Raw genomic sequence first — 13670 nt, 5'->3', positions numbered from 1 at the left:
CAGGATGTGGTTTGTTTTTTTTGTTTGTTTGTTTGTTTTTTGTTTTTTGAGACAGAGTCTCGCTCTGTCACCATCTCGGCTCACTGCAAGCTCCACCTCCTGGGTTCACACCATTCTCCTGCCTTAGCCTCCTGAGTAGCTGGGACTACAGGTGCCTACCACCACACCCAGCTAATTTTTTTTGTTTTTTGTTTTTTTGGTTTTTTGTTTTTTTTAGTAGAGACGGGGTTTCACCATGTTAGCCAGGATGGTCTCGATCTCCTGACCTCGTGATCCACCTTGGCCTCCCAAAGTGTTGGGATTACAGGTGTGAGCCACCGCGCCCGGCCGGTTTGTTTTTTTCTTTTGTTTTGTTTTCTGGAGACAAAGTCTGACTCTGTCACCCAGGCTGGAGTGCAATGGTGTGATCATGGCTCACTGCAGCCTCAAATTTGTGGGCTCAAGTTATCCTCCTACCTTAGCCTCCCATGCAGCTAGGACTATAGGGGTGTGCCACCACGCCCAACTACCTTTAAGTTTTTTATTTTTATAGAGACAAGGTCTCACCATCTTGCCCAGTGTCATGTTGAACTCCTGGGCTCAAGCAGTCCTCCTGCCTCGGCCTCCCAAAGTACTGGGATTACAGGCATGAGCCACCACACTCAGTGGTTTTTGCTAAAGAAAAAATAATTTTCTCTAGTTTAGAGGTTATTTACAGGTTGTTTCAAAATGAAAGAAAAATCATGTAAGTCTAAAGGGATCTAAAAATTTGGGAAAAGGAAAAAAATAGAAAAAATTTGTAAGAAGTCATAAATGGGTTCTGGAAATCTTGTGTGGTCAAAAGCTGAGATTGGATGGATTAGTTTATAAGGTTGTATTAAAATTAGCTTTAGTATTGATAATGGATTAATATAAAAATAAAATTTGGTTTTCTCTTTTGAACAATAATTTCATGTATAATATTAATAACAGACAGCAAAATATTTTTGTTCACCTTTTGAGTAAACTCCAAAAAAATAGGGAGAGGAGAGACAGATTCTGTCTCATGCTGTCTTTCTTAGGTCTTTTAGTTGTTCAAAAAACTGAGTCTCCTCTCTATCATTATTTTTTATTATTTTAATTTATTTAGTTTTTCTTCTGCCTATTGAAGAGTAGAGGTTTTTGCTTTCTGAAATCTCTGAATTATCACTTTGGCTAAATGAATGACTATTATCTTACAGTGACCTGTCATCCTATGTTGATCGAGTGTTTTAAACCTTTCTTATTTTAATATCTGGTGTTTTAAACCTTTGATATTTGACACACTTCCCAAAATCACGTTTCAAATTCTAAAATTAAATCTTTTTGACCTGAACTAACTTGGACGTAACAGTTAGGGCCCCTGGTGGCCAGGCATGGTGGCTCATGCCTGTAATCCCAACACTTTGGGAGGCCAAGGTGGGCAGAACACTTGAGTCCAGGAGTTCAAGACCAGCCTGGACAACATGGTGAAACCCTGTCTCTGCAAAATATACAAAAATTAGCTTGGCATGGTGGCTCATGCCTGAGCCTGGGAGACAGATGTTGCAGTGAGCTGAGATCGTGCCACTGCACTGTAGCCTGGGTGACAGAGCAAGACCATGTCTCAAAAAAAAAAAAAAAAACACAACTTGCCACATTGTTTCCAGGCACAGTGGCTCATGCCTGAAATCCCAGCACTTTGGGAGGCCAAGGTGGGAGGATCACTCACAGAGTTCAAGATCAACGTGGATAATATAGCAAGACCCTGTCTCTACAAAAACATAAATTAATGAATTTTGAAAAACCAGGCCAGGCACAATGGCTCACACCTGTAATCCTAGCACTTTGGGAGGCCAAGGCAGGCAGAGTGCCTAAGCTCATGAGTTCAAGTCCATCCTGGGCAACACGGTGAAACCCCATCTCTACTAAAATACAAAAAATTAGCCGGGTGTGGCAGCATGCACCTGTAGTCCCAGCTACTCAGGAGGCTGAGGCAGGAGAATTGCTTGAACCCAGGAGGTGGAGATTGCAGTGAGCTGAGATTGCGCCACTGCACTCCAGCCTGTGTAACACAGCGAGACTCCGTCTCCAAAAAAAAAAAAAAAAAAAAAAAATTAGGGTCCCTGAAAGGCCAAGAGAGATATATTAGGCTAATTTGGTATGTTAAAATTATGTAGGAAACATTGTCAAATAAGAAATGGTGTCTAGGCCAGGCACGGTGGCTCATGCCTGTAATCCCAGCACTTTGGGAGGCCGAGGTAGGTGGCTCACCTGAGGTTAGGAGTTCGAGACCAGCCTGGCCAACATGGTGAAACCCCCATCTCTACTACAAATACAAAAATTAGCCAGTTGTGGTGACACATGCCTGTTTTAAGTTTCTTCATGATGTTTTTAGTTGGCTCATTAATGGAATAGGTTATTTTTTTTCCATTTTGGCATACAAATTGTCTGTCCTCTATCTCTCTGTCTCTCTTTTTTAAAAAAAGAAACAGGATGTTACTCTGTTGTTCAGGCTGGGGTGCAATGGCACAATCACAGCTCGCTACAGCCTTGACCTCCCAGACTCAAGTGATCCTCACATCTCAGCCTCCACAGTAGCTGAGACTACAGGTGTGTGCTACCATGCCCGGCTAGTGTGTGTGTGTGTGTGTGTGTGTGTGTGTGTGTGTGTGTGTTTGCGTTTGTGTGTGTGTATAGAGACAGAGTCTCATTATGTCGCCAAAGCTGGTCTCAAACTCCTCAAGCATTCCTCCTGGCTTGGCCTCTCAAAATGCTAGGATTACAGGTGTTAGCCACCACACACAGCCCAGATTCTCTTTTTGATTGTAATCTTTCTGCACATTATATTTCTACTATTCAAGTTATTGTTACATATCTCTCATTTTACTTCTTCTGAGAAAACAAAAATGGTATTTGTATTAGTCTGTTCTCACGCTGCTGATAAAGACATACCCAAGACTGGGCAATTTATAAAAGAAAGAGGTTTAATGGACATACAGTTCCACATGGCTGGGGAAGCCTCACAATCATGGTGGAAGGCAAGGAGGAGCCAGTCACGTCTTACGTGGATGGCAGCAGGCAAACAGGAGAGCTTATGCAGGGAAACTCGTTTTTATAAAACCATCAGATCTCATGAGACCCATTCACTATCACAAGAACAGCTCAGGAAAGACTTGCCTGCATAATTCAACCACCTCCCACCAGGTTCCTCCCACAACGGGAACTGTGGGAGTTACAATTCAAGATGAGATTTGGGTGGGGACACAGCTAAATGATATCATTCCACCCTGGCCCCTCCCAAATGTCATCCTCACATTTCAAAACCAATCATGCCTTCCCAACAGTCTTCCAACGTCTTAACTCATTTCAGCATTAACTCAAAAGTCCACAGTTCAATGTCTCATCTGAGACAAGGCAAGTCCCTTCTGCCTATGAGCCTGTAAAATGAAAAGCAAGTTAGTTACTTCCTAGATACAATGTGGGTACAGGCATTGAGTAAATACAGCCATTCCAAATGGGAGGAATTGGCAAAAACAAAGGGGCTACAGGCCCTGTGCAAGTCCAAAATCCAGCAGGGCAGTCAAATCTTAAAGCTCCAAAATTATCCCCTTTGACTCCATGTCTCACATCCAGGTCATGCTGATGCAAGAGATGTGTTCCCATGGTCTTGGGCAGCTCTGCCCCCAAGCTATTCCTTGGCCCCTTTCAGTCATGGCTGGAGCAGCCGGGACACAGGGCACCAAGTCCCTAGACTGCTCACAGTAGAGGGACCCTGGGCCCAGCCCACAAAACCATTCTGTCCTCCTAAACTTCTGGACCTGAGATGGAAGAGGCTGCTGCAAAGGTCTGTGACATGCCCTGGAGACATTTTCCTCATTGTCTTGGTGATTAACATTAGGCTCCATGTTATTAATGCAATTTTCTGCAGCCAGCTTGAATTTCTTCTCAGAAAATGGGATTTTCTTTTCTATCTCATTGTCAGGCTGCAAATTTCTCAAACTTTATGCTCTGTTTCCCTTTTAAAACTGAATGCCTTGGCTGGGCATGGTGACTCACCACTGTAATCCCAGCATTTGGGAGGCAAGGCAGGCAGATCACTTGAGGTCAGGAGTTCAAGACCAGCCTGGCCAACATGCCAAAACACCATCTCTACTAAAAATACAAAAATTAGCCAAGCATGGTGGTGTACATCTGTAATCCCAGCTACTCAGGAGGCTGAGGCAGGAGAACCTCTTGAACCCAGAAGGCAGATGTTGCAGTGAGCCAAGATCATGCCACTGCACTCCAGCCTGGGTGACTGACAGAGGGAGACTGTCTCAAAACAAAACAAAAAAACCTGAATGCCTTTAACAGCACCCAAATCAACTCTTGAATGCTTTGTTGCTTAGAAATTTCTTCTGCCAGATAACATAAATCATCTCTCTCAAGTTCAAAGTTCCACACATCTCTAGGGCAGGGGCAAAATGCTGCCAGTCTCTTTGCTAAAACATAACAAGAGTTACCTCACCTTTGCTCCAGTTCCCAAGAAATTCCTCATCTCCATCTGAGATGACTTCAGCCTGGATTTCATTGTCCATATCATTTTCAGCATTTTGGTCAAAGCCATTCAGTAAGTCTCTAGGAGGTTCCAAATTGTCCCACATTTTCCTGTCTTCTTCTGAACCCTCCAAACTGTTCCAACCTCTGCTGTTACCTGGTTCCAAAGTTGCTTCCACATTTTTGGGTATCTTTTCAGCAACTGGTACCAATTTACTGTATTAGTCTGTTCTCACACTGCTGATAAATACATACCCAACACTGGGCAATTTACAAAAGAAAAAGGTTTAATCGACATACAGTTCCACATGGCTGGAGAGGCCTCACAATCATGGTGGAAGGCAAGGAGGAGCAAGTCACATCTTACATGGATGGCAGCAGGCAAAAAGGAGAGCTTGAGCAGGCAAACTCCCATTTTTAAAACCATCGGATCTCACAAGACTCATTCACTATCACCAGAACAGCACAGGAAAGACTCACCCCCAGTCATTCAACCAGCTCCCACCAGGTTGCTCCCATGACGTGGGAACTGTGGGAGCTACAATTCAAGATGAGATTTGGGTGGGGACACAGCCAAACCATATCCGTATTCCAAAGACTAGAGATGATTCAACGAAGCTGGCAAATCTCCCTCCTCTGGAACCCTACTGGGCCCAGTCTGTTTTCTGTCGGCAATGCTCTGCGGCTAAAGCTATATATCAAGCACTCTCCCTGTGTGCCCAGGGACTCCTCCAGAAGAGGAGGGCATGTGAGGTTGTAAGGGTGGGTTTCACTGAGTGGAGTGTAGGAAAATAGCCTGTCGCCTGGCAAGAATGATGCCCTCTTGAGGCAAAACCACTATGATGAGCAGTGGTTGACTCCTGCATACCAAAGGGTCCTGCAGCAAGGTCTTTATACAATGCCTGTAGCATAGATAACCCCTCATAAGGATGCTTATCTAACCTCCCCATTGGTCACAAGTTTTGCAGGAAAGTCTGAGACATAACCAGCTGCACATGTTTTACCAAAAAAGCTTGCTACTTTTTGGAGGGCAGGTGCAGGGATCCATCATCTCAAAGCTGCCTAAGACATTGCTTCTGTTTCTAAGTCCCTGTTAAATGTTTTCTTCTGGGAAACTGGACTTATCAGCCTCTTTCTTTGACCTCTCATCTCTCTCTGCCTTTGGCGGTAGATTTGCATAGACCTGCTCCCTGCAAAACATACTTCTCACATGGCATAATGAGCAATCTGGGGCCATTTTTTGATGTTTGATAATTGTCAGTGTTTAAGTCTCACCCTCCCTCTTTCCTTTGTGCTCACATCTGGGGAAACTGGTAAGAAAGCCTGGGTGCTCCCTCTGGTGACACTGGAAGATTCGAACCACACAAGCCCCTGCCTGTATGTGGGAACCTCCCATCAGTCCCACCCCCAACCACAATAAAAACCCAGTCCAGCCTCCTTTCCTTGCTGTCTCAAGCCATTTTGGACCTGCCTGGGAAGCCTCGCTGCTGCCCTCAATTATGTATAAAATAAACCTTTTCACACCCCCCTTGGGGTGTATGTTTTTGTGTGACATCATCAGTCTCAAAATTGTGGGTGGGTCATCTGAGTCTGCAGGTAACCACACAGTCGGCACTGTCAGCAGATGTCTGGGTGATGACCACCCCACCCAGTGGTATGGCTTCCATTGCCTCAGCATATTCATTCACCAGCTCTCTGCTGGCTGGCCAGCATGTGCTCTGAGCTGTACTGCTTTGTGTGTCATTGTTGAGTCCAACAGAACCCTCCAAAAGAAGCTCCAGGGCCTGGGGGGAAAATAGGGCCTTTACTGGGCAAATTTCAGCTGGACCACTCGCCTAAGGCTTGAGGGTCAAGAACCACAGTCACCACCAGCCCCTGTTGTGTGTGGGGAGGGGTGGGGAGCACCGTGGCTCCCAGAGACCCCATGTGGCTTCTGTGTGCAGAGTTTTCTCTGCCCATGGGCTAAGGTCTGAGCAGTTCCAAATGTCAGAACATCAACTGTGGAGACTGCTCCCCTATGGAAATTTGATATAAGCAAATGATGGGTTAGGGATAAATGTCATATGTGGGTATTGGAATAACCAGCTAGCCATTTGGAAGATAAAATTAGATCCATTCTCCACACCATGTAGCAGAATAAACTGCAAATGGAACAGAGAGGTAAATGTAAAGAAACAAAACCAAACAAGTACTAGGTGAAAACATGAATAAATTATTCTAGAAACTGAGAGGGAAATTTTTACTACTACTAAAAATCAAGAAACAAAAGAGAAAATATCGATAAATTTAACCACATGAAATTTTTTTACATGACCAAAACCAACATAAAGTAAAAAAATGACAAACTGAGAAAAATATTTATAACATATTACAGCTAGCACATATAAAATAATATACAAAAGATTATTTTAAGATTAGACTTGTCAGGCCGGGGTGGTTCCTACCTGTAATCCCAGCACTTTGGGAGGCCAAAGTAGCAGGACCACTTGAGCCTAGGAGTTCAAGACCAGCCTGGGCCACATAGGGAAACCCTGTCTCCACACAAAATTTTTTTTTAATTAGCCTGGTGCGGTGGCACACTCCTGTGATCCCAACAACTTTGGAGGCTGAGGCAGGAAGATTGCTTGAGTCCAGGAGGTTAAGGATACAGTGAGCCATGATGGCACCACTGCACTCCAGCCTGGACAACAGAGCAAAACCCTGTCTAAAAAAGATTAGGGTATCATTTTCAACAAATGTTGAAACTACTGAGTAACAATATACCAACGAATGAACTCCAGTCCTTACCTCATACAATGTATAAAAATCGACTCAAAATGTATGATCAACTAAATGTATAAAATTTAGAAGAAGAAAACATAGGAGTTCGGGCACCGTGGTTCACGCCTGTAATCCCAGCACTTTGGGAGGCCGAGGCAGGTAGATCACAAGGTCAGGAGTTGAAGGCCAGCCTGACCAACATGGTGAAACCCCATCTCTACTAAAAATTAGCCAGGTGTGGTGGCACGCGCCTGTAGTCCCAGCTACTCAGAGGCTGAGGCAGGAGAATGGCTTGAACCCAGGAGGCACAGGTTGCAGTAAGCCAAGATCGCGCCGTTGCACTCCAGCCTGGGCAACAGTGCAAGACTCTGTCTAAAATAAAAAAAAAAGAAAGAAAGAAAAAAGAAAAAAAGGAAAAAAAAATAGGAGAAAACCTTACAGATCTTGACTTGGCAAGAATTAATTAATTTTATTATTATTAGTTTTTGTTTTATTGAGTGCTTGTGTGCTAAACACTAAGTGCCGGGGCTACATCAGTGAACAAGCAGCCTCCACCTCCAGGTTCAAGGGGTTCTCCTGCCTCAGCCTCCCGAGTAGCTGAGATTACAGGTATCCACCACCATGCCCAGCTACTTTTTGTGTTTTTAGTAGAGATGGGGTTTCGCCATGTTGGCCAGGCTGGTCTTGAACTCTTGACCTCAAGTGATCTTTCCGCCTTGGCCTCCCAAAGTGCTGGGATAACAGGCATTGGCCACCGCACCCAGGCTATTATTATTTTTTGAGACAGGGTCTCATTCTGTCACTCAGACTGGAGTGCAGTGGTGTGATCATGGCTCACTGCAACCTTGACTTCCTGGGTTCACTCCCACCTCAACCTCCCAAATAGCTGGGACTACCCGTATGTGCCACTATGCCCAGCTAACTTTTGTATTTTTTGTGGCCACGTTCCTCAGGCTGGTCTTGAACTCCTGGGCTTAAGCGATCTGCCCACCTTGGCCTCACAAAGGGCTGAGATGACAGGTGTGAGCCACTGTGCCCACCCAAGAATTTACTAAATAAGAAACAAAAAGTATGAACTTTGAAGGAAAGAAATCCATTAATTCCTTTATCAAAATTTAAAACTTTTGCTCCTCAAAATGAAATGAAATGAAAAGGTACAACTGTGAGAAAGTATTTGCAAAACATATATTTGCAACATAGGACCAGTATCCAATCCTATAAAGAACTCATAATAAGACAAATGACTATTTAAAATGGGCAAAAAATGTAAACAGCTGCTTCACCAAAGAATATATGTACACAGCAAACAAGCACATGAAAAGACCCTCAGCAACATTAAGCATTAAAGAAATGCAAATAAAAACCACAATGAGGCTGGGCACAGTGGTTCATGCCTGTAATCCCAGAACTTTGGGAGGCCAAGACAGATGGATCACTTGAAGTCAGGAGCCCGACACCAGCCTGGACAACACGGCAAAACCCTGTCTCTACTGAAAATACAAAACTTAGCCGGGCGTGGTGGTGCGCACCTGTAATCCCAGTTAGTTGGGGGGTGAGGCAGGAGAATCACTTGAACCCGGGAGGCAGAGGTTGCAGTGAGCCGAGATCACGCCAAGGCACTCCAGCCTGGGTGGCAGAGTGAGACCCCATCTCAAAAAAAGAAAAACACAATAAGATGCCACTGTACTTCCACCAGCATGGCTAATTTTGTACAAATTGACAATACCAAGGGTAGGCAAGTATATGGAGCAACTGGAGCTGCCACATACTGCTCGAGGGGGGGTCAAGTGGTGAAAAACACTTTAGAAAGAGGTTGACAGTTTCTTTAAAACAAAAGCAGGCCAGGCGCAGTGGCTCACACCTGTAATCCCAGCACTTTGTGGGGAAGAGGCAGGTGGATCACTTGAGGTCAGGAGTTCGAGACCAGCCTGGCCAACATGGTGAAACCCCATCTCTACTGAAACTACAAAAATTAGCCAGGCGTGGTGGTGCCTGCCTGTAATCCCAGCTACTCAGTTGGCTAAGGCAGAAGAATTGCTTGAACCCAGGAGGCAGATGTTGCAATGAGCCTGGATCACGCCACTGCACTCCTGCCTGGACAACAGAGTGAGAGTCCATCTCAAAGAAGACAGAGAGAAAAAAAAGAGAGAGGGAGGGAGGGAAAAAGAAAGAAAGAAAAAGGAAAGAAGAAAAAGAGAAAAAAGGAAGCATAGATACACACAAAAACTTACATACAAATGTCTGTAGCTAAAAAATGGAAACAACCCATGTCCAATATCTGGTGAATGGATTAAAAAGTTATCGTACATACATACAATGGAGTATTGCCCAACAATTTAAAGGAACAAACTATTGATATATGCAGCAAATGGCTAAATCTCGAAATAACTATGCTGAGTGAAAGAGGCCGGACCCACCCATACTCCAAAATAATGTATCTTCTATGATTATATAATATCATACAAACTACAAACTGAGTTAGAGTGACAGAAAGCAGACCCAGGGATGGGGGCGTTTGGGGCTGATGGACCTGTTTAGTATCTTAATTGTGGGGATAGTTTCACAGGCATCTACTTAGGTCAACATTTTCATCAAACTAAAAGTATGTTCAATTTATTGTCTGTGCAATTTATACCTCAATAAAGCAACAAAAATACAGCAGTAAGGACATAGCAGTCAAATATATTTTTAAAAATCAATTTATTATCAGCCTTATAGTATATTTCCCCATAAGAAATGTTTATTTCTCTTCTCTGAACAGAGTATTTCTAAATATCCTCAGTTGTACATATTAATTAGGTTGAGGATAAACTGAATGATAGTTAATGAAATCAGATCTGAGGATATGAATTTTAAATTGATTTTTAAGTTTACTCTTTATCACTTATCTGGTGTCAAATTGATTACCTGTAAGTTCTCACATTGCATCACAAAAACACCATCAGGGATTTTTGGCAATTTTTTTTTTTTGAGACGGAGTCTCGCTCTGTCACCCAGGCTGCAGTGCAGTGGCGCGATCTTGGCTCACTGCAAGATCCGCCTCCTGGGTTCACACCGTTCTCCTGCCTCAGCCTCCCAAGTAGCTGGGACTACAGGTGCCTGCCACCACGCCTGGCTAATTTTTTGTATTTTTTTTTTAGTAGAGATTGGGTTTCACCGTGTTAGCCAGGATGGTCTCGATCTCCTGACCTCGTGATCCGCCCACCTCAGCCTCCCAAAGTGCTGGGATTACAGGCATGAGCCACCGTGCCCAGCCTGATTTTTGGCAATTTTTAATGTTAAACATGGCACTTTACCCAGCTGAAAAAACACATTTTCCTAATCACCCTTGGAGCTAGAATTGGTCTTGTAACACACTTTAGACCAAAAATACATAAGTAAAAGTCACAGGGTGCAGTTCTGAAAGACATGGGGTTGGCTGAGCATACATTTGATTTTGTCTTTTGTTTTTTCTCTTTCTGCCTGGAATCTGGATGTGATTCTAGTGATGAAGCAGTCTTCTTGCAATCATGAGGCAAAAAAAAAAAAAAAAAATGAAAGCTGCTTATTAAGATGGCCAATGGAAAATAAAGGGGGAGCCTAGAGGCCTGGTGGCATTGTGTGGCCTTGGATGGGCTCCGTATTCCTAGAAAAATTGACTCATAAAAAAAACCACCTATTTGGTTCAGCCACTGTAATCAGCTTTCTGTTGTACAGTCAATGCCAATCTTAAGTGAGATAGTAACATAATATGTTAAATTGGTTAAAAAAAATGTGAACACAACCTCAAAAGAATAGTTTCCAGCATAGCACTTCTGGTCTCTCTCTCTCTTTCCATACACACACACACACACACACACACACACACACACACGTTTGTATGGTTTCTGGCTCATAACTGCCATAGCCCTTGTTACACTCGTTTGTTATAACATTGGATGCATTAGGCTTCAGAGAACAAAATCTCTCTGACCTCCTGCCCGCAGGACCCTAATCTTCCCCTACCTCTCTGATTGTGGGTCATAAGACCATCATTCCAGAGAGGGTCCCACCTCATAGCCTGGTGGAAAAAATATCGATGTCATGAAGCTTCCATGAAAACCCAAGAGGACTGGGTTTGTAGAGCTTCTGGAGAGCCGAACACATGGAAGTTCCTGGAGGGCTGTGTGCCCTGCAAGGGCACAGAGGCTCTGCACCCCTCTCCCCATGCCTTGCCCTACACATCTCTTTATTTGTATCCTCTGTAATATCCTTCATTATAAACTGGCAAACATAAGTAAGGGTTTCCCTGAGTTCCGTGAGCTGTTCTAGCAAATCAAACCCAAAGAGGGAGTCATGGAAACCCCAACTTGAAGGAAGTCAATCAGTTCTGGAGGCCCGGGCTATGACTCACGTCGGGGACTGGGGAGTCGTGAACTGACTTGAAGGAAGTCAATCAGTTCTGGAGGCCCAGGCTGTGACTCCTGTCGGGGATTGGGGAGTCGGGAACTGAGCCCTCATCCTGTGGGATCCGGCACTATCTCCAGGTAGACAGTGAAGGAGCTGAACTGGAGGACACCCAGTAGAATTGATGGCTTGCTGATGAGGAGAAATCCCCATATATTTTGGGGCTACATAAGTCTTCTGTGTTGTTAGTATGAGAGCAGAGGAAAAATAGGGTTTGAGAGTTTTTCTGAAACAATTTTCTGGTCTCCTAAGGTAGGTGTGGGTTTGAATCCCACTTGTGGCAGTGTGAGAGCAGAAAAAAAAACAGTTTGAGTTTTTCCAAAACAACTGGTGTCAAAACATGGCGAAACCCCATCTCTACTAAAAATACAAAAATTAGCTGGGCATGATGGCAGGCGCCTGTAATCCCAGCTACTCAGGAGGCTGAGGTAGGAGAATGGCTTGAACCCAGGAGGCAGAGGTTGCGGTGAGCCAAGATCATGCCATTGCACTCCAGCCTGGGCGACAACGAAACTCGGTCTCAAAAAAAGGATAAAAAATAAAAAAAGTAAACTGTATACTCATGAACGATACGTAAATTGTGTGTATATATATTATATATATCATATACGATTTGTTGCAGGGACTGTGCCTTACACCATTGTGGCACATAGTTAACAGTTCCTGTAAGGCTGTTGTCTTTGCATCTGATGCTGGAACAGGGCAGACAGTTGGGAAGGGAAGATGGATGTAAAGTGAGGAGAGACAAGTTGAGGTCTGTGACCTCAAGCTGGAGCCCAGGATGCGCTGAAACCCCTTTGTTGCCCTATAGGAGAAGCTGGAGCCTTTAGTCTTGGAGCTGAAGGAGCCAGAGGAAGAGGGGGCAGCTGCTGCCTCATGTCGCCCAGGTGAACCAGCAGACACAATGGCACCTGCCCAGACCTTCTGTAGTCCTCACCATCTCTGGACACACTCTGTAATTCCTACATTTATTCTGCGTATTGCCTACTGTCTCCATTCACATGTATGGTCCAGAAAGACATGGATTTGTTAGGCACTTGCTTGTTCACTGATGTAGCCCCGACACTTAGTGCTTAGCACACAAGCACTCAATAAACATTGTGCTGTTGAAGGAAAAAGAGTGACAGAGACACAGAAGGGACGTGCTAGAGAGGATGTCAGCTGCTAAATCTAAGTGAAGGGCACGGAGGTATTCATTGTATTATTCTTTCAACCTTTATGAATGTATCAACATTTGCAAAATAAAAAAGTTGTGGAGGAGGAAGAAAAACAAAAACCAGGATGCACTGAGGTCTGAGGTGAAGGTCCTAGGAGCATCAGTTCTCTGTTGGGATCAAGGTTGCTGGGACAGAGCTTGATCCCTGTCAACTGCTAAAACAATCCAGGACAATCCAATAGTAGAGCTGAATTTTGATTACCTTGGTCCTGAGCTTCACAGCCCTTTGGCAGAGGAAATCCTGTGACACTGAGGTGTAACCACAAGACTGGCCCAAACTGACCCTATTCTGTTGGTAACAGGAGGTATAGCAGAGCCAAAACTGAAAGTCATGTAACCCGGACATGCACAAAGGAGGAAAATCATAACTCGGAACCAACGTTTCCTCCCTGTGGAGCCAAGAAGACAGGGACATGACCGGAGCTTGAGGGGCGGAACGCTTTCAGAAGGGAAGGGTCCATTATCCTGGAAGATCTGGTGCTGAAACCTGCCATTCCACACCTTACCATAAATGGCCAAGTTTAAAGCCCTCCTATTGAAACCTGCCCGCCAGCACTTCTGTGTGCCAACCTGTCCTCCCTAACCCGTCGACTTTGACCTAAGCCCACATGTGGGAGCCACATTTGAGCCATGCCTCCGGTCTCCTTGGCCGTCGACCTTGAAATAATAAAGCCTTCTCTTTTCTCAAAAACTGGTGCCACCGTTTTGGCTTCTAGTGCGCCAGGCAACGGGCCCATTGCTCGAAACGCGCGTG

Source organism: Homo sapiens, chromosome 8, assembly GCF_000001405.40.
Source record: "Homo sapiens chromosome 8, GRCh38.p14 Primary Assembly".
Classification (NCBI taxonomy): domain Eukaryota; kingdom Metazoa; phylum Chordata; class Mammalia; order Primates; family Hominidae; genus Homo; species Homo sapiens.
The sequence above is the reverse complement of the archived record's forward strand: the minus strand, read 5'-3'. Positions refer to the sequence as shown.